The sequence below is a fragment of the Homo sapiens genome, chromosome 12, assembly GCF_000001405.40.
Source record: "Homo sapiens chromosome 12, GRCh38.p14 Primary Assembly".
In the NCBI taxonomy this organism is placed as follows: domain Eukaryota; kingdom Metazoa; phylum Chordata; class Mammalia; order Primates; family Hominidae; genus Homo; species Homo sapiens.
The window spans coordinates 110,843,534-110,863,385 of NC_000012.12; the positions used below are offsets into that span (position 1 = coordinate 110,843,534).

The window sequence follows — 19,852 nt, forward strand, 5'->3', positions numbered from 1 at the left end:
TCTGAGACAGGGTATTGCTCTGTCACCCAGGTTGGAGTGCAGCGGCATGATCATAGCTCATTGCAGCCTCGAACTCCCAGGCTCAGGTGTTCCTCCTGTCTCAGCCTCCTGAGTAGTTAGGACTACAGGTGCATGCCACCATTCCCAGCTAATTTTTGTATTTTTTGCAGAGACAGAGTCTTGCCATGTTGCCCAGGCTGGTTTCGAACTCCTGGGCTCAAGCAATCAACCCACCTTGACCTCCCAAAATGCTGGGATTACAGGCATGAGCCACTGCGCCTGGCGAGAATTATTTTCACATTCCCTGTTGGGGACCACCTGACCATGGCCCCCTGGACCCACATCATTGGGCCAGGACATCAAATCTAGACTAGGACAATCGTATTCTCTTGGGAAGAGAGGAGGACATTGGAGCATCTCTTGGGAAGAGATGAGGAAGTTGAGATGAGGACATTGATTTTTTTTTTTTAAACTGAGTTCTAAAATGGGAACTTATAAGAAGCAAGATGGGAGGAAGAGGGGACAGCAGAGAAAATAGTCCTTAAAAAAAGAGGCCAAGTTGAGAGACCAGGTGGTTCCAGAGAGGGCTAGAGGGAGGAGCTGCCTTGGTTTCTGACAGCTTACTAGTTCTGGGTTCTTGTTCCTCATGGGATCTGCCTCCAACCTTTGTGAGATAGCCCTAACATTCATACGATGCAGCATGCTTTAGATGAAAGAAACAGAAACTGCAATCCACACTGGCTTAAAAAACAAGAAACGTATTCATTCACATAATAGGAAATGCAGAGTTCCTATTGTTCATAATGTGGGTTTCAGGCAAGGTATGATCAGGGTGCCAGCCACATTGTTCTGTAATTCTCCCTAGGCTCCTCCCTCCATCGTGTGTTAGCCTTGATCTCACACTGGCTTCCCTCATAGTTGCCAGAGGGCTGTCAGCAACATGAGGGGCAACATGCTTTCTTGTTTGCATCCATAAGGGTAGAAAAGCATCTCCCTCTACCCCAAGTTCTTCCTTTCTGTCTGATAGGCCACTGTCAGTTGCACGCCTATTCCTGGACCAGTAGAAGTTTCTGGGAGAATGCTATGCACTAATTGGCTTAAACTTAGATTCCCAGTCATTGGCAAGGAGGTGATGGGATGGCTGTGATTTGCTAACACTAATGGAGATCTACCTTGGAGGTGTGTGTAAAACTCAACTGCTCCTGGTTACATAGGCTCAATGGGGAAGGACTGTTACCTGAACAAATTGGGATTGGCTGGGAAGAAGGAAAGGGAAACAGATGAGGAGGCCAAAGAAAAAAATTCATTTTGAGATAGTTCGAGTGGGTTTCTGATTTTTGTAACCAAAGAGTCACTTGGACTGTCAGTTTTCTGGTCTGCGTCCAAATGCCTCTGCCTGGTCCCTCTGCGGCTTGGCTCTAATTTCCTCCTGTGTTCTGGAGGCTCTGCTGTCGCCAACATTTCCCACCGCTGGCTCATCGCTTTGGCAAGCTGGCATCTCACCCTGCTCCAAGTCCCGCTGATAAAGCAGAAGGTCCCTTTAGCAGAATCGATTCTGACATGTTCTAATTAAAAAAGCCTGATACGTCTCTGCATGGCGGCTGCTGAGAGCTGCGCCCATAAAGACAAAGAGAGTAAATTCGTCGGAGGAAGGTCTATTTTTAACAAGTCCTGAACCTAATTGAACTTAATCATTTTTCAGTCGTTGACACTTGAAATGTGTGAGTCATTGGGCTCTGCATGGAGCTGAGTGCTGGAGCAGCCCTTTAAATATCAGAGATGGGAGATATCAGCTTGCAGGGCTGCTCAGATTTGGGGCTGTGGTTTCAGTCAGGGTGTGGAAAAGCGTGGGGCTCCAGAGACAGGGAGCCTTGGGTTCAAATCCTGGCTGCTCCACTGACTGCAAAACTCGGTTTCTCTAAGTCTGTTTCCCCATCTGTAAAATGAGGATGGTCAAGTGTATCCAAAACACTTCATATGAATCATTTGGAGGCAAGGCCTGACATGTAGCTGTTCATAATCTATCCTTATCTTACTTGACATGAATATTGATGTTTCCTTGCAGAAACAGTAATTCGTTTGATCTGGACTGTGTGGCCCGAACCCTGTATGTAATATACTGTCCCACTGACTTCCCTCATGGTTACAACGTGGCTGCCAGCAACATTAGGGGCAACATACTCCCTTGCGTACCATATTATCTTTCTGAAACCAAAAACATGGTAAGTTCTTTTTTTTTTTTTTGAAACGGAGTCTCACTCTGTCACCCAGGCTGGAGTGAGTGTGATCTTGGCTCACGGCAACCTTTGCCTCCTGGGTTCAAGCAATTCTCCTGCCCTAGCCTCCCGAGTAGCAGAGACTACAGGCACCCACCGGGTGTGTGCCACCATGCCGGGCTAAATTTGTTATATTTTTAGTAGAAATACAAAAAAAAAAAAAAAAAAAAAAGAAATACACAGGGTTTCACCATGTTGGCCAGGCTGGTCTTGAGCTCCTGACCTTAAATGATCTACCTGCCTCAGCCTCCCAAAGTGCTAGGATTATAGGCATGAGCCAGCGCACCTGGCCTCCAAAATATGGTAAGTTCTAAAACACACATCCTGTCCCAAGAATTTACGGATGAAGTGGAGACCTTAGCAGGGCTGAGCTACTACAATCCACTCAGGGGGCTAGGAGTTAAAGTGGAAATCACATGGAATCAAAATTACTGTAGAAAACAGGTACCCCCAATAATTTTCCATTAATTCTGTGATTGTTTCTAGAGCTTAGCCCCAGAGAAAGTAGTTGACTTGTGTTTCAGGGCCGATTGTATGAAAAATGTGTATCTTTAAACCACTAAACTCCGTTAGGGCAGTGAAAAGCTCACTTGCCTGGATCACACTTGGGTTCCCGTGTTATGCTCACAGTGGGTGGGGGTCAGGTGGATGTTCTGAAGAAAATTCTCCTGCACTGATGAAGTTATTTTTCTCATGAAATATCTCTTTCCCCCCCCGCCCCAACATTTTTTTTTAATTTATTTTTACTTTATTTTATTTTTCAGAGTAGAAAAAACTGGGCTCCTTTGAGTTAGCTGCGTGTGAAGTCTGTACCTAGCAGGGCTGCTGTGAGCATGAGTGTAGGTGTAGGCTAAGAAGACGGTGAATGGGGTGTGAGTGGGGCGAGGTGGACCAGCGATTGCATGGCGTTGGCCGAGGGAGGGGCTAAGACTGTTGATTGACTCAAGAAGTCACTTAGCGTCATGAGGGTCCGGGTAGTCTGGTAAGGGGTCGCTGGAGAGTGTGTCGCCCCTCTCCCCCAACCAAAAGCTTCCCTCCAACCAGCTGCTCTTGTCCTCTCCTCCCGAGGGCCCTGTGCCCTCCCAGCGGACTTGCAGGGGAGAACGTCCATGTTTGTGCGAGTCACAAAGGCGCCCGTTCCAGGGGTCCCAGAACGCCCGGGCGTGGGGCTGGGGGTGTGGCGCAGCGAGGCCGCGCAGCAAGCAGTCCTCCCGGCACCGTCGGAAGCGCAGTTGCAGCAGCCGTCGGACAAGCGGCCGGAGCAGCCACGGACAAGCAGTCCGGGCCCCGCCACTGGTAAGTTTCGCCGCCCGCCCGGCCGCGCCTGCTGCGCCACAGCTCCCCCTGCCAGGGAAAAGGAAAGAGCGGTCGCGGTCCCCAGTCCATTCATATCTCGCTGCCCTAAGCGTTGAAAGTATCAGGGTCTCCCGCAATCATGCATAAATAAATTGTAGTGTGTAAAATAACTCCAGAGCCGCGCGAGGTGGCTCATGCCTGTAATTCTAGCACTTTGGGAGGCTGAGGCAAGAGGATCGCTTGAGCCCAGGGGTTCGAGACCAGCTCGGGCAAATTCGTCTTTACAAAATATTTAAAAACTTAGCCGGGCGTGGTGGTGCCACCTGTAGTCCCAGCTTCTTGGGAGGCTGAAGGGGGAGGATCGCTTAAGCCCGGGAAGGTTGAGGCTGCAGTGAGCCGAGATTGAACCACTGCACGCTAGCCTGGGTGACAGAGAGAGAGAGAGACGCTCTCAAAAAAGGAAAAAAAAAAAGTTCAACAAATTTTTATTTTCCTCCCATAATAATCCTTAAAAAACAAAAAACAAAACAAACAAACAAAAAACAAGAAAAACAACAACAACAACAAAAAACTGTGTATGTGTTTCTGTGCTCCTGTTTGGCTAGTGCCCTAAGCACATGTTTAATTCCAGGTTGTGCAGCCCTGGCTCAATATGATCCACATAGCTGCCTGTCCCAAGGTCCCTAGGGAATCCTTCGGGGGCAGGCTTGTCTTTTAAAGGCAGGTTGTTAAAATTCAGAAGCAGATGAGGTGCAGGCCTAATTAGATATTAGATAAATGAAGATGATCTCTGCCTGGAGGAAACTTCATTCATTCAAACTGTATTTGCCAAGAGCTGCCCATGCGCCCAGGACTATGGATGCTGTGGTGAATAGACTGAGGCCCAAGGGGCAGGAGGCCCTTGCCTGACGTCCCCTGACCTGGGCTGCTGGGCTTCTCTGCACTTTTCCTCGCACACGCTGTTCCCCAGAAGTGGGCAGCTTTTAGATTCCTAACAGGAACTGCAAATTCAAATTCCTACTGGCTCTAGGCAGTTACAGAAAATGTGAGAATTGTGGGGAGGGGAGCTTAGCCAATAGGGAGGAGTGGGGCCTGTGGCCAGGAGAGTGAGTGCATGACCCACATTTATGTTTTGAAACACTGTGGAACAGAACTGGAGGTAGGTTGAATTGGCCCCATGGACTATGAGTTTCAGACCCTTGAATGAGAGGGTGGTAAGCCAGGGGTCAGGACATCCAGGAGATGCTCTGCAGGCCAAGCTATGAGGATGGGGGTGAGGGGGTGGATCTGTTCCCCAGGGAATGTAGGAGCCCATCCCAGAGGGCACTGATCGAAAGGGAAAGGCCTGGGTTAACATCTGGAACCTGAAGAGAAGCCAGCACCCTAGGGGAGAGTGACTATGTATGCGCATATGGATCAGCAAAAAGGCAGGAGGTGATGGAGCTTTTGGTTCCTGGAGAATGGTGCATAACCCAGCCAATGATCTCATGGGCCAGACAGACTGGTACTTGAAAATCCCACTTCACAAACAGGCTACGTTCGCCCAGCGTCTGTCATGAGCTAGGCACTATGCTAACCACTTTACAGACATTATTTTGCGCTGAGATATGGGTGTGGGTATCCCCATTCTACAGATGAGGAAACTGAAGCTCAGAGAGGTCAAATCACACTGTCAGTGAAGGTCAGATATACCCAGTTCATGTTATTAAGATGGTGCATTACAAATCCACTTAGGACCCAAAGGGCCCTGGAACATAGAACAGCTCCTGGACAATATGAAATTGGAGCTGCCCCAAATTCCAGGGCTGAAAGAGGTCCCAGAGAGAGCATCCTGTGCCCAAACCTTGTTAGTCAGGTAAATCCTCCTACAGCTTCTACTCCTACCTGGAGGACCCTTCCAGAAATGATCAAGATACAGAACCATTGTCTTATACCACTTCCCTGCCTGTGGGAATTTCCCAACATCAGACAATTCAGTTGGCCCCCAAACCCTCAAAAACATCAGGGAAAATCCAGAGGTTCCTACATTACCAGCCACTATTTTCCTATCACCCATTAACCTGAGAACCATTTTCAAGGTATGGACCATGTCAGTTAGGAATGCTTTAGGCTTCAATGAACAAAATATTTGGTGACTGCCTTAAACAACAGTGACTCTTGCTATTTCACCTAACATGATGTCTAGAGGTAGGCAGTTCCAGGGATGGGGCAGTAGCCAACAGTGTCAGTTAGAACCTAAATTTTTTCCTGTCTTTCCTCTTTGCTGTCTTTAGGTGTGACGGTGATATTTCTCTTCATGGTCATGGGAGGGTTGCCACTGAACCATCATGCATGCCTTCACAATAATTTCTAAAAGCAGAAGGAGAGAGGAACACGAACAAGCTCTTATTTCCTTTTTTTTTTTTTTTTTTGAGATGGAGTCTTACTCTGTTGCCCAGGCTAGAGTGCAGTGGTGCGATCTCAGCTCACTGCAACCTCCATCTCCCAGGCTCGAGTGATTCTCCTGCCTCAGCCTCTTGAGTAGCTGGGATTACAGGTGCCCACCACCATGCCCAGCTAATTTTTGTATTTTTAGTAGAGACGGGGTTTCACAATGTTGGCCAGGCTGGTCTCAGTCTCCTGACCCCAAGTGATCTGCCTGCCTTGGCCTCTCAAAGTGCTGGGATTACAGGCATGAGCCACTGCGCCCGGCCCAAGTTCTCACTTTTTGTCCCAAAGGAATGGAATATACTTCTCCTTATGTCTCATTGGCCATATCTGGGTCACATGTCTATCATTAGACCAATCATTGACAAAGGGAAGTGGGGTTACCATGATTAGCAGGAAACAATCATGAGTCATCCTCTGGGACTGGGCACATTGAAGGGGTACAAAATCAGATTTGTGTTAGGCAGAAAGAAGTTAGGGTATTCTCTGAGGCATGCTAGCTGCTATAACAAATACATCCCCACATTTCACTGGCTTAACACAACAGAAGTTAATTTCGCATTTGTGTAACAGCCCAATGAGGATGTTCATGGTTGGCAGATGACTTCTTCTACAAGTAGATCTGGGGACCTGTCTTGTGGCTCTGCCTCCTGTAAATGTCAGATGAGGCAAGAAAGGATGGAAAGGTCACATCCACTTCTTAAAAGTCATGATCTGGAAGTGACAGACTTCCCCTCTGCTCACATCCCATTGGTGAGAATTCATCAGAGAGCCCTGCCTGGATCTGAGAGGAGCAGGGAGGCGAAGCCCTGGTTGGGCAGCTAACTCACACAACAATGCCACATGGAGGGAAGCGACTGTTGGGGAGGCAATGAACTGATCTCTTCCAGGCTGATCTATCTCATCCTTGCTTTTAAGAAGCATCCAGGCTGGACGTGGTGGTTCACGCCTGTAATCCCAGCACTTTGGGAGGCCGAGGTGGGCGGATCACCTGAGGTCATAAATTCGAGACCAGCCTGACCAAAATGGTGAAACCCCGTCTCTACTAAAAATACAAAATTAGCCGGGCATGGTGGTGCATGCCTGTAATCCCAGCTACTTGGGAGGCTGAGGCAGGAGAATCGCTTGAACCCGGGAGGCAGAGGTTGCAGTGAGCCGAGATTGTGCCGTTGCACTCCAGCCTAGGCAACAAGAGCGAAATTCTGTCTAAAAATAAGTAAATAAATAAATAAAAATAAAGAGCAGCGTCCAGTCTTTTACAGATCTCTTTGCTAGCCACTTTCCACTAGATACTGCCTATACTTGAGCGCAAATCGTTTTCTGAACACTCCTTTCAGTCACTTCCTTCTCACCCTTTGCCCGAGCAGTTCTCTCTGCCCAGAATACGCCCCCAACCTCCAACTTTTCTTCTCTGCCTGGTGAACTCCTATTCATTCCTCAAAACCCAAGTTAAAAGTCATCTTCTTTGTGGAGCCTTTTTTACTATTTTGTCATAGGCAGGATTTATGGCACTTTGCAGGCTGACTTACCACTGAATTCCACAGTGTGTAGCATACAGTGGGGGCTCAGTTTATGTGCTAAATAGATGTAAGTACTTCAGGTATGAGAACTCATTTGGTTGCAAGCAATAGAAAATGCATCTCAGGTTGCTTTAATGGAATATACTGATTTCTGTAATTGGACATTACCCAGAGGTATGTTCAGGCTTGGCTAAATGCTGGTGCTTGCTTGGATGATGTTCTCAAGCCTCAAGATTCAGTCTGTCTTCATTTTGTCTTCTCTCCTCCATTTTAGCTTGGTTCTCAGCCTCTTGCAGAGGCGAGATGGCTGTCAGCCCCTCCTGACCTTATCCACCGAGGTTCAAGTGCAGCAGGAAACAAAGTCTCTCTCTTCTTGAGTGTTCCAGCTTAAATTCCACCATTCACTCTGGTTGGACTAGCTAGCTTCATGTGCCCATCCACCCCCGAAGAAATCCCAGGCTAGAGGGCTGAGATCATGCAGATTGACTGGGATCTGGTGCTCTGATTCTCCCATCCAGAGTCGGATGCCCCAATCTTGAAGGTGGTGGGGTATGGTCAGCCCCCAGGAGTGCAGGAAGGTGTGGCTTCCCATGGGAACTTCAGGGTATTGTTACCAGGAGATAGAGGAACACCCCTCTCACCCTCATCAACATTCACCACCCTGCACCTTCGCCCTCTGAAACAATCCATATCCTGCCATATCATCCTAGCCACTGTGTACTGAGCACTTACTACGTCCCAAGCACAGTGCTGAGTGTCTTACACACTCAATGACATGGCTTCTAGAATTTCTCCCATTTTCCAGGTGAGGAAAATGAGGACTACAGAACTGAAGTGGCTTGCCCGAGGTTAATAAGTGGCTTTGGAGGAATTTGAAATGAGATCTGATGATTGGCACAACCAATGCTTTAAACCATTGCATTGCAGGACCCTCAATGGTGGCAAAGCTGGAATTTCTGCTTTTGGAACCCAGCTCCTGCAGTCTGGAATTGGCTGTGCAGTGGGTCTCACAACCTCAAAGGATGTGATGTGTGGGATTAATGCTGTCCCTTGCTCTGAATAACTATGGGCTAGATGAAGTTCAAGTGGTGACATGATAAGAATACTGACTCCTGCTCTAAGATGGGAGGGTGGGGATTCCCTGACAGCTGCAATTGAAGTTGGGCACATTTCTATTTAACCCCATCAGGGGACACACTGCCCCGATGCCTTTTTTTTTGTGAGATGGAGTCTCACTCTGTCACCCAGGCTGGAGTGCAGTGGCGCGATCTCGGCTCACTCACTGCAATCTTTGCCTCCAGGGTTCAAGCAATTCTCCTGCCTCAGCCTCCTGAGTAACTGGGATTACAGGTGTGTGCCACCACACCTGGCTAATTTTTTTGTATTTTTTGTAGAGACAGAGTTTCACCATGTTGACCAGGCTGGTATCGAACTCCTGACCTCAAGTGATCTACCGACCTTGGCCTCCCAAAGTGCTGGGTTACAGGCATAAGCCACCATGCCCGGCCCCCTGATGCCATTTTGCCCCCTCTTTGGGTACACAGGGAGCAGGAGGGTAACTGACACGCCAGAACCATCTGCCCAGCTCCTAATAATAAATGGTGAGAGAACCAGGTTCCAGGCAAACATTGCTTTAAAACAAATAAGTGCCTTTTGTCACACCCGGGCAGCCATCTGGGTATCCTCCTCATGTGCCAAGGTGTGGGTGGAGGAAGGGATGGCAGGGGGAGGGAGGAGGTGCCGTTCTGACCTGCACCCCCAGCAGGGGTGGCTTACAAGTTCTCTTCCTTTTGCCACCATGAACAGGGCATTGCAGAGAGACAGAGAGAGAGAGGAAGGCTCACTGGCTTTGAGCTCTCTGGGTACAGTGTCTGAGTGGAGGCAAAGTGCGGTTCCTTCAAGATGTCTGTGGTAGGTGATGCCAGCTCCCAGCCACAGAGCACCTACTATGGGGTCAGGCACTGTGCCATCCACTTTACACGTTAGCTCGTCTCATCCTGACAAACAGATCTGTGCTCACCCATTTTGTAGGTGGGAGGCTGGAGGCTCAGAGACATCCAGTGACTCACCCAAGTTCCCACTAGATGGCACAGTCAGAGTTTGAACCCAGAACCCCAAAGAATACCCTCCCCTCACCACAGTATGCAATTACAAGTCAGTCATCTCTCCACCCTAGCAAGCCAGGGTGGGTTTTCCATGTAATAGACAAGCAGCTGACATCACCCAAGGGAAGGTCTTCCACTTCTAGCCATGGCCCAGCCACCCCCACTGCCCTTCACTCTTAAGCCCATCTGTGGGCTTCTCTAGCCACCTGGCCCACTACGGCCTCCCACTCCTCTCCATCTCCCCCAGTTGAAGAAGAACAGGAGAAAAGACTCCGACACTCCCCAGGAACCTTCGGAGAAGGCCAAAGAGCAGCAGGCGGAGGCAGAGCTCCGGAAGCTAAGGCAGCAGTTCAGGAAGATGGTGGAAAGCCGGAAGTCTTTTAAGTTCCGAAACCAGCAGAAGATTGCGAGTCAGTAGTAAGTGATGGTTGGAGTTTCGCACTGAGTGACCTTGGAGGAAAGTTGGGGTTGGGCTTCATGTTGCTTGTCTTCTGTTCTGTGACCCCTGGGGCAGGGAGCCACCTCTGAGCCCCATTGGAGGATCCACGGTCTTTTATCTGCAGAGCCTAGTTTCAAGAGAAACTCACTTGAGATGGCTTCAGTGAAGAGGGGGAATTTCTTGTCAGAATGCAGGGTGTTTTGGGGACCCCTGGTGGGCAGGGCACCCAGATCTCAGGGAAGGACCTAATTGAGGAAAGAGTTCTGGTTTCTGTTTTTCTCCGCACATGACTTCTGTTCTCTCTCTCTCTGAATTTCAGCCTCAGCTGGTGGGAAGTGGCTGCTCCAGCTCTCAAGTTTACCAGCTGCACAGAGAGAGGGTCTTGAATCAATTCCAACCTCACATTCCTGGGAGACGGAGACTCTGATAGGCTCAGCTTGGGTTAGCAGTCTCCTCCTGGTCCAATCAGCTGTGGCTTGAGAGGGCAAGGGACACAAAAATGTCTGGGGCTGTCACTCCCTTGGTCCTACCAGGGAAGTGGAGGAGTTCCCAGAGAAGGCGGAAACCCTAACAACGTTTCCTAATTGTGTGTCTTATGAGAACTGCAAGATAGAATATTTGAAATTGGATTGCATCAGAAATTACAATCATTTCTTTTCTTTTTTTTTTTTTTTTGGAGTGTATCATTTCTTTTCTCTTTTTTTTTTTTTTTGGAGATGGAGTTTCACTGTTGTCGCCCAACCTGGAGTTGGCAATGGCGTGATCCCAGCTCACTGCAACCTCCGCCTCCCGGGTTCAGGTGATTCTCCTGCCTCAGCTTCCTGAGTAGCTGGGATTACAGGCGCCCACCACCATGCCTGGCTAATTTTTGTATTTTTAGTAGAGGCAAGATTTCACCACGTTGGCCAGGCTGGTCTCAAACTCCTGTCCTCAGATGATCCACCCACCTCGGCCTCCTAAAGTGCTGGGATTACAGGTGTGAGCCACCATGCCCAGCTGTGTGTATCATTTCTTCAGGCAACAGAAAGGTGTTCCCTGGGGTTGAATACACAAACATTAAGCAGACTTTCTTAGATTCCCTCCAAGGGAATGTAATTCCTTAGCTGCATCCATATTGTTTATAAAGGCAGAAACTGTCCATTGTTAGAAAGGAAATCTTACTGTTAGATGAGAAGTTCACAGGATGGGGAAAAGGAATTTTTATTTTTATTTTTATTTTTGAGACAGGGTCTGGCTCTGTAACCCAGGCTGGAGTGCAGTGGTGCCATCTCGGCTCACTGCAACCTCTGCCTCTCAGACTCAAGCGATTCTCCGACCTCAGCCTTCTGAGTAGCTGGGATCACAGGCGTGTGCCAGCACGCCTGGCTAATTTTTTGTATCGATGGGGTTTCACCAAGTTGCCCAGGCTGGTTTCAAACTCCTGAGCTCAAGCAATCCGCCCGCCTAGGCCTCCCAAAGTTCTAGGATTACAGGCGTGAGCCACCATGCCCGGCCTGAAAAGGGATTCTTTAGATTTTCCATGGATTCAACTTACTCAGGGCCAGGGCTAGCCCATAAGGGACCTCCATGTGAATTTTTTTAAAAGGTACACTTTCTCAAGACGCTTTACTGTCATCTGTTGGAAAAATTGTCATTATGTAGAGATTTTGTTAGAACAAGAAAGTGTCTCCCAGAAAAGTGTAATAAATCTACAAAACAGTGGTGTGTTTTCAAGCTGGTGGTGCTTCCTAGGGTTGTGCAGGCCACAACCTGCACATCTGTGGCTGGCTGACCTGATTCGCAAGCCTACCTCTGGTGGGCATCAGGAAATGCCTCCTTTTGATATGTCTCTGACAATTTTTCTTGAATTTAACCCTTCTTCACCCCAACAGCACCCCACACACAGGCTTCTGGCTCTACTAAGTCAATCCATTTGATCTGGTTTCACTTTGATGGAACTGAAGAGGAGGAGGGTGGAAGAGTGGAGAGTTTAGGTTCTTATTATTTTATTTATTTATTTTTTGAGATGGAGTTTCGCTCTTGTTGCCCAGGCTGGAGTGCAATGGTGCGATCTTGGCTCACTGCAACCTGTGCCTCCTGGGTTCATGCAATTCTCCTGCCTCAGTCTCCCGAGTAGCTGGGATTATAGGCATGTGCCACCATACCCAGCTGATTTTGTATTTTTAGTAGAGATGGGGTTTCACCATGTTGGTCAGGCTAGTCTCAAACTCCTGACCTCAGGTGATCCACCCGCCTCGGCCTCCCAAAGTGCTGGGATTACAGGCATGAGCCACCGCACCAGGCCAAGTTTAGGTTCTTTAGAGTGAAACACCTATACAGTATTTAAGGAAGCACTTTTCCCCAGCACCAACCCTGGCTTACAACATTCAGGGAGTAACTTAAGGTTTTGGGGTACTTCACTCCCTTTACACCAGTCCTGGCCTTGCCTGCAAGACAGACACACCTTCCTTTTGCTTTTACCAACCCTCTCTGAAAACCTCTTTTTTTTTTCTTTTTTTTTTTTTTTTGAGATGGAGTCTTGCTTTGTTGCTCGAGCTGTAGTGCAGTGGTGCAAATTTGGCTCACTGCAACCTCTGCCTTCCAGGTTCAAGCGATTCTCCTGCCTCAGCCTCCTGAGTAGCTAGGACTACAGGCGCCCACCACCATGCCTGGCTAATTTTTGTATTTTTAGTAGAGAAAGGGTTTCGACATGTTGGCCAGGCTGGTCTTGAACTGCTGACCTCAGGTGATCTGCCTACCTCGGCCTCCCAAAGTGCTGGGATTACAGGCATGAGCCACGGCACCCTGAAAACCTAACTCTTGTAGAGTATTGTACTCTCTTTTTTCTCTCCACCTTAACAAAGACACTCGCCCCAGCTTCCCCCGCCCGCCTCCTTCCAGGAGGGGCTTAAGCAGGGCAGAAGAGTCCCCAGGCTGGTTGAGAAGACAGGAGGTCACTGGCCAAATGTGGCTATTTACATTTGTAATTAATTAAAATAAATAAAATAAAATAATATTTAGTTCTGCTGAAATAGCCGCATTTCAAGTGCTCAACAATCACTTGTGCCTAAGTGGATACTATGGGCCCCTCAGAGAACATTTTCATCACTGCAGAACGTCCTATTAGAATGGGATCTACAAACTACAGCCAAATCTGGCTGGCTGCTGGTTTTTTGTAATTAAATCTCTATTGGCACACAGCCATGCCTGTTGGTTCACTTTTTGGCCGGTTTGCCAACTCCTGTCCTAGGACATTTTCCTTTCCTTTCTTTTTTTTTTTTTTTTTTTTGAGACAGGGTCTCACTGTGTGTCTCCCAGGCTGGAATGCAGTGGCACGATCTCAGCTCACTGCAACCTCTGCCACCTGGGCTCAAGCAATCCTCCCACCTCAGCTACTTTTAATATTTTCTGTAGAGACAGGGCCTCACTATGTTGTCCAGGCTGGTCGCAAACTCCTGAGTTCAAGCAATCCTTCTGCCTCGGCCTCCCAAAGTGCTGATGTTACAGGAGTGAGCCACTGCGCCAGGCCTGTAGAACATTCTTTTTTGTTTGTTTGTTTTTGTATTGTTGAGATGGAGTCTTGCTCTGTCTCCCAGGCTGGAGTGCAGTGGCGCGATCGCAACTCACTGCAACCTCCGCCTCCCGGGTTCAAGCAATTCTCTGCCTCAGCCTCCAGAGTAGCTAGGATTACAGGCGCCCACCACCCCCCCCGGCTAATTTTTTGTATTTTTACTAGAGATGGGGTTTCACCATCTTAGCCAGGCTGGTCTCGAACTCCTGACCTCATGATCCACTGGCCTCGGCCTCCTAAAGTGCTGGGATTACAGGCATAAGCCACTGCGCCGGGCCTGTAGAACATTCTTTACTGTTCTATAGCAGTGTGTCCAAAACTTTTGAAGCATCTGGACACTCGATCCTGTAATAAAGCAGATTCTGATCCAATTGGTCTCAGGTTGGGCACCTGAGATTCTGCATTTCTCCAAGTTTCCAAAGGACATTCATGCTACTGATCCGCAAACCACATTGGGGAGTGGGTGTCAGTCTCCAGACTGCCAGAAACTCAGCCTCTGTGCCATCTCCCCTTGTTCCATTGTGCAGTCTTTCAAGCTCCCTTTGCTCTTTTCCAAATCCCCCTGTTTTCCCACATCCCGGTAGACATTTCCTCATTAGCACCACAAGGAGAGAAACTGGTGGAGCTTAGAGGCTATTATGCATCCCTGTGTTGATGCAAACTTGAAAAATCCTGCCTGGCCAGGCACGGTGGCTCATGTCTGTAATCTCAGCACTTTGGGAGGCCGAGGCAGGTGGATCACATGAGGCCAGTAGTTCGAGACCAGCCTGGCCAACATGGCGAAACCCGTCTCTACTAAAAATACAAAAAGTAACTGGGCATGGTGGCTTGTGGCTGTAGTCCCAGCTACTCAGGAGGCTGAAGCAGGAGAATCGCTTGAACCTGGAAAGTGGAGGTTGCAGTGAGCCGAGATCATGCCACTGCACTCCAGCCTGGGCAACAGAGTGAGACTCTGTCTCAAAATATAAAATAAAATAAAATAAAATAAAATAAAATAAAATAAAATAAAATAAAAAATAAAATAAATAAAATAAAATCCTGCCTGATGGTTTGCTCCTCATTACTGGAGATAATTGGCGGTAAAGTCTGGAAAGATGGTCTGCAGAATCAGACAGGTGCCAGGGAGTTGCTGGCAAAGGAGAACGTGGGGGTTTCCTCCATGTCTGAGTAATGGGTTTTGACAGGCACAGCTGCAAATTGTTACCTAGAGAAAATACCCACCTCAGAGAAGGCAGGGCAGCAGGAAATCATGGTGAACCAGGTCTCAGGTGATCAGGCTTCCAGACCTGGATCTGAGACCATGGACACGTCCCTTTTGCCTGCTTGCTCAGGTGGGAAATTCCTCTCTCCCGGTCTCCTTGCAGGGCTGATGTGCCTGGAGTGCTCCGTCAAGTTAAACTTAGGGGTTTGGGGTTAATCATGGGCTGCTTTTCCAACAGCAAGGAGATCAAGACCCTGAAGACAGAGCAGGATGAGATCACCCTACTGTTGAGTCTCATGAAATCCTCGAGGAACATGAATCGGAGTGAGAAGAACTACATGGAGCTGCGACTCCTGCTCCAAACTAAGGAGGACTATGAGGCATTGATTAAATCCCTGAAAGTGCTGTTGGCTGAACTGGATGAGAAGGTGTGGTCTTTCTCTTAAAGGGTTAACCAGAACACAGAGCAAAGGGGAGGAGTTGGGGTGCATATTCGTGATGCCTTAGGCCAGACCTGACACCCCTGTATCACAGTATCTCCTCTGGACAGCCCGCTAAATGTGACTGCTGCTATCGTCTCGCTACCCTTGAGACCTCTGGGCTCCAGTATCCAGGCTCAGCCATACCAATCCATCCCTCCGCCGTGCTCCCCAGTGCCACCTGCTGCACCGTGAATAAACCCCCACAGCTGCACCCTATCAGTTAGGAGAGGCTTGGTTATGCTGCAGGAATAAATGCCACCCCCTCACGCATTCTTAGTGGTTTAAAACTTTAAGGTTTCTTCCTTGTTGATGACACGTAACTGTTGTGGGTTGGCTAAGAGCCCTTATATCTTCTCACACTGGGACTAGGCTGAAGGAATAGCCACCATCTTGAACATTGCCAGGTATTATGGGAAAGAAAGAGTTCTAGAGGGTTTCATGCTGGCCATTGAATATTCCAGTCTGGAAGTGAAACATGTCACTTCTTTTTTTTTTTTGAAAGAGTCTTGCTCTCTTGCCCAGGCTGGAATGCAGTGGTGCAATCTTGGCTCACTGCAACCTCTGCTTCCTGGGTTCAAGTGATTCTCATGCCTCAGCCACCTGAGTAGCTGGGATTACAGGCGTGCACCACCATGCTGGCTAATTTTTGTATTTTTAGTAGAGACAGGGTTTCACCATGTTGGCCAGGCTGGTCTCAAACTCCTGATGTCAAATGATCTTCCCGCCTCGGCCTCCCAAAATGCTGAGATTACGGGCGTGAGCCACCGTGCCTGGCTGAAACACGTCACTTCTGCTCATGACCCAGGGGCTCAAAATAGTCGTGTTTTCTGATTATGGTAACAAAAAAAAAAAGAAAAGAAAAAGCAAGAGAAAATAGTCATGTACGTGATCCTACCCATCCACAAAGGGGTCCGGGAAGGGCCACCCTCTCATTATCTGGAAGGCAAAGAGCTGGAAGTATTTGCAGGACAACATTAATGGTCATGCCCCTTACCCTGGCTTGAAAGGCCCTGCGTGATCTAGCCCCTGCCTACCCCTTGGCCCACCTCAGGGCCTTTGCTTATGCTCCCCCACTCCCACCCCTTCCCCCACTCCCGCTTGTCCTTCAGGTCTCAACTTAAATGTGACTTTCTCAGGGAGGCCTTTTCTGTGCCCCCTCTCCAGGTTATACCTCCCTGTGTCAGTCAGGTTCTGGCTGGAACCCAGAGCACCCCCAGCAGGGTACTTTGAGAAGAGTTTAATGCAGGAACCATTTACAAGGGTGTGGGCATGAGCATGAGTAGGGACATTGAAACACTAGGGTTCGCAACAGCGGGGGAGGGGGCAGTGGTCTGGAACTTGGAGAGCCTGGGGCAAGCCAGGGGCAATGGCTCCCCTTTCTTCCAACCCTCTGATCCTCAGTGCAAGGGAGCCCCTCAGCGATGCAGCCAGGTCAGCCTGTTGGGGCACAGAGCAGTGGGTCTGGGGGGCAAGTGGGGGATCCCATGGCTCCCCACAGTACCCCCTTCATAGCTCTTCCCACCATTGTCATTATGCCTTATTCTGGTGTTTAACGGCTCCCTAAGCAGCCTGACAGCTTCACAAGGGCAAGGACCACATCCATTTTGTTCTCTACAGTGCCACCCCTGCCCGCAACCCCGTGCCTGTCCCAGTGTCCCGCACACAGTAGATCCTCAGTAAACATTTACTATTTCTATTATAGTATTAATTAATTGCTATAAAGAAACGGCTGAAACAGGTAGTTTATTTATTTTTAAATATTTATTTATTTATTTTTGAGACAGAGTTTCACTCCTGTCGCCCAGGCTGGAGTGTAGCGGCATGATCTTGGTTCACTGCAGCCTCTGCCTCCCAGGCTCAACCAATTCTCCTGCTTCAGTCTCCCGTGTAGCTGGGATTACAGGCAGGCACCCCCACGCCCACCTAATTTTGTAATTTTAGTACAGACGGGGTTTCACCATGTTGCCCAGGCTGGTCTCGAACTCCTGACCTCAGGTGATCCACCCACCTCGGCCTCCCAAAGTGCTGGGATGACAGGCGTGAGCCGCGGCATGCAGCCAAGACAGGAAGTTTTTAAAGAAAAGAGGTTTAATTGGCTTACAGTTCTGCAGGCTATACAGGAAGCATAGCAGCTTCTGCTTCTGGGGAGGCCTCAGGAAACTTATAAATCATGGTGGAAGGCAAAGGGGGAGCAGGCACGTCACATGGCCAGAGCAGGAAGAAGAGAGAGACGGGGGAGGCGCCACACACTTTTAAACAACCAGATCTCATGAGATTTCACTATCGCCAAGACAATACCAAGGGGGATGGTGCCAAACCATTCATGAAAAACCACCCCCCACCATCCCATTGTCTCCCCCAGGTCCCTCCTCCAACACTGAGGATTACCATTCAACATGAGATTAGGGAGGGACACAGAGCCAAACCAGATCACTACTGAATGAATCTGGAAATCTCTTCACATCTTTTGTCTGCTTCAAACCCTTCAGAAAGTTCCTGTTGTTCTTTCCATAAAGGCCCAACTCCCCAGTGGGGCTGCATCAGCTCTGCCTGCCTCTCTCACCTCCTCCCCTGCCCCCACCTGCTCTGTGTTCCACCCACTGAGGCCTTCTTCGTGTCCTTTAAGCCCACAGTACTGTCCCTCACTTCCAGGACTTTGCGTGTGCTATTCCCTCTGCCTGGAGTGCCTTTCCCTGTCCTCTTTGCTTGGAGACCTCCTATTTATCACTTAGGTCTCAGCTCAAATGCTCTTTTTTTTTTGAAACGGAGTCCCACTCTGTCACCCAGGCTGGAGTGCAGTGGTGCGATCTCGGCTCACTGCAACCTCCACCTCCTGGGTTCAAGCGATTCTCCTGCCTCAGCCTCCAGGGTAGTTGGGACTATAGGTGCCTGGCTAATTTTTTTTTTTTTTTTTGTACTTTTAGTAGAGATGGGATTTCACTGTGTTGGCCAGGCTGGTCTCGAGCTCCTGACCTCAAGTGATCTGCCCTCTTCCGCCTCTGAAGTGCTGGGATTACAGGTGTGAGCCACTGTGCCCGGCCTCAAATGCTACTTCTGCTGGGACATCATCCCTTCATCTTTCCCCACTAGATGTCCCTACTGTGCGTGCCCGAAATACCTTGTGTCTCCTGTCCCCTAGGGCTTGACGCCCCCTTCGTGGCTTGTTTCCAGTCCTAGATTGTAAGTTCTCAGAGGGCAGAGACCCTCTGTCTTGATTATTATCATCACCCACCCCTGCTGTCTGGCACCAGAGCAGGTGTTTAATAAACACTGGTGAATGAATAAATGACTGAAAGGTGACAAAGGAGGCAATAAAGGGAATAAAGAGAAAAATTGAAGAGGAGCTGGGGCCATGGGTCTTTAGAAGCATTAGGAAGAGGCAACACAGCGTGGGGTCCTCAGAAGTTTCTGGGGCTCACTGCCCAGTGCAAACCATCTTTGCCCAATTTCATTCCAGGGTGGCAGTTACCAGAATCCCTTCCTCCCATGCCCACCCTCGATGGGCAAAGCCTCGTCCTCACAGGAGGTCACTGGAGGTGGGGACCTCCCCAGGCCCTACCTGGCCTTCCTCGCAAAATAGTTAATAAGCCGATGGGAAGACAGCATCTTGCTTAGGGAATACAATTCTCCACCAGCCGTTGCCTTGGAGAATGTCTCCCATTGTGCAGAGGCTGAATGACTCCCAGCATCACAAAAGCAGCATCTGACGTAAAGACTCCAAAGGAAATCCAACTCTGAATGTACTCATGAGAGCCACCAGGAAATGCTGATGCCACAGCTTCCCTTAACAGGGAGCCGGAGCTGGAGGACTGCAGGCCCAACTCTAGTGGGGGCGGGCCTGCCTTCAGGTGATGGCGCAGTCTGGAGATGCCGCCCTTGTGGATAGGAAAACAAATTGGTTGTTTTCTTTCTTTTCTTTTTCTTTTCTTTTTTTTTTTCTTTTTTTGAGACCATCTCACTCTGTCACCCAGACTGGAGTGCAGTGGTGTGATCTCAGCTCACTGCAACCTCCACCTCTCAGATTCAAGCAATCCTCCTGCCTCAGCCTCCTGAGTAGCTAAGATTACAGGCACCCGCCACCATGCCTGGTTAATTTTTGTATTTTTAGTAGATATGGAGTTTCACCATGTTGGCCAGGCTGGTCTCGAACCCCTGACCTCAGGTGATCCACCCACCTTGGCCTCCCAAAGTGTTGGGATTACAGGCATGAACCACGGCGTCCAGCTGTTTGTTTTATTTCATTGGTGAGTTAGTGAGGGTTTGCACTGAGGCCCAGCTATTTGTTTTATTTCATTGGTGAGTTAGTGAGGGTTTGCACTGGGGGCGCTGCCTGTGCACGGAACAGAAGGGACACCAAAGTAGAGCGGGGGCCTGACTCCACTGTGTGTGTCGGGGCAGGTGAAGCCCTTTAGTCTCGCTTTGAGTGACACACACGTGTGTGTGTGTGTGTGTGTGTGTTCCAGCTGAAGTCCAAACCACAGCTAGTATCCATTGTAATAGCATTCATATGCCTCATCAGTTTATGTGAAACCCAACAGTTCCCTTGACACCTGATC

At 49.0% G+C, this 19,852-nt stretch overlaps 1 protein-coding gene across 8 annotated transcripts in view, besides 2 other annotated features; it reads left to right on the top strand.

The window, feature by feature from the left end:
* The first annotated feature begins 952 nt into the window (after nt 1–952).
* The window catches only part of CCDC63 (coiled-coil domain containing 63), a 63,050-nt gene continuing 44,150 nt past the window's right edge, over nt 953–19,852 (top strand). For 2 of the 8 annotated variants that reach the window (XM_006719263.3, NM_152591.3), the window contains exons 1-4: nt 3,454–3,572; nt 9,326–9,430; nt 9,872–10,041; nt 15,053–15,242. In XM_006719263.3, the coding sequence (XP_006719326.1) occupies nt 9,422–9,430; nt 9,872–10,041; nt 15,053–15,242 (369 nt within the window). In that variant the 5' untranslated portion in view covers nt 3,454–3,572; nt 9,326–9,421. Of the gene's footprint in view, nt 1,180–2,065; nt 2,223–3,453; nt 3,573–7,793; nt 8,098–8,952; nt 9,121–9,325; nt 9,431–9,871; nt 10,042–15,052; nt 15,243–19,852 lie in introns of those variants that run through there. The other 6 variants (XM_011538001.3, XM_011537999.2, XM_047428443.1 and 3 more) reach the window with 6 other exon arrangements.
* Nucleotides 9,416–10,615: an enhancer, noted in NCBI's record as "CDK7 strongly-dependent group 2 enhancer chr12:111290753-111291952 (GRCh37/hg19 assembly coordinates)". NCBI's record gives its function as "activates an origin of replication core promoter dependent on BRD2, BRD4, P300/CBP, MED14 and CDK7 cofactors, with strong dependence on CDK7, by STARR-seq in HCT116 cells {active_cell/tissue: HCT116}" and the evidence as "EXISTENCE:reporter gene assay evidence [ECO:0000049][PMID:35650434]".
* Nucleotides 16,762–17,262: an enhancer, noted in NCBI's record as "H3K4me1 hESC enhancer chr12:111298099-111298599 (GRCh37/hg19 assembly coordinates)". NCBI's record gives its function as "activates a minimal SCP1, AML or CMV promoter by ChIP-STARR-seq in primed H9 embryonic stem cells {active_cell/tissue: H9 hESC(primed)}" and the evidence as "EXISTENCE:reporter gene assay evidence [ECO:0000049][PMID:30033119]".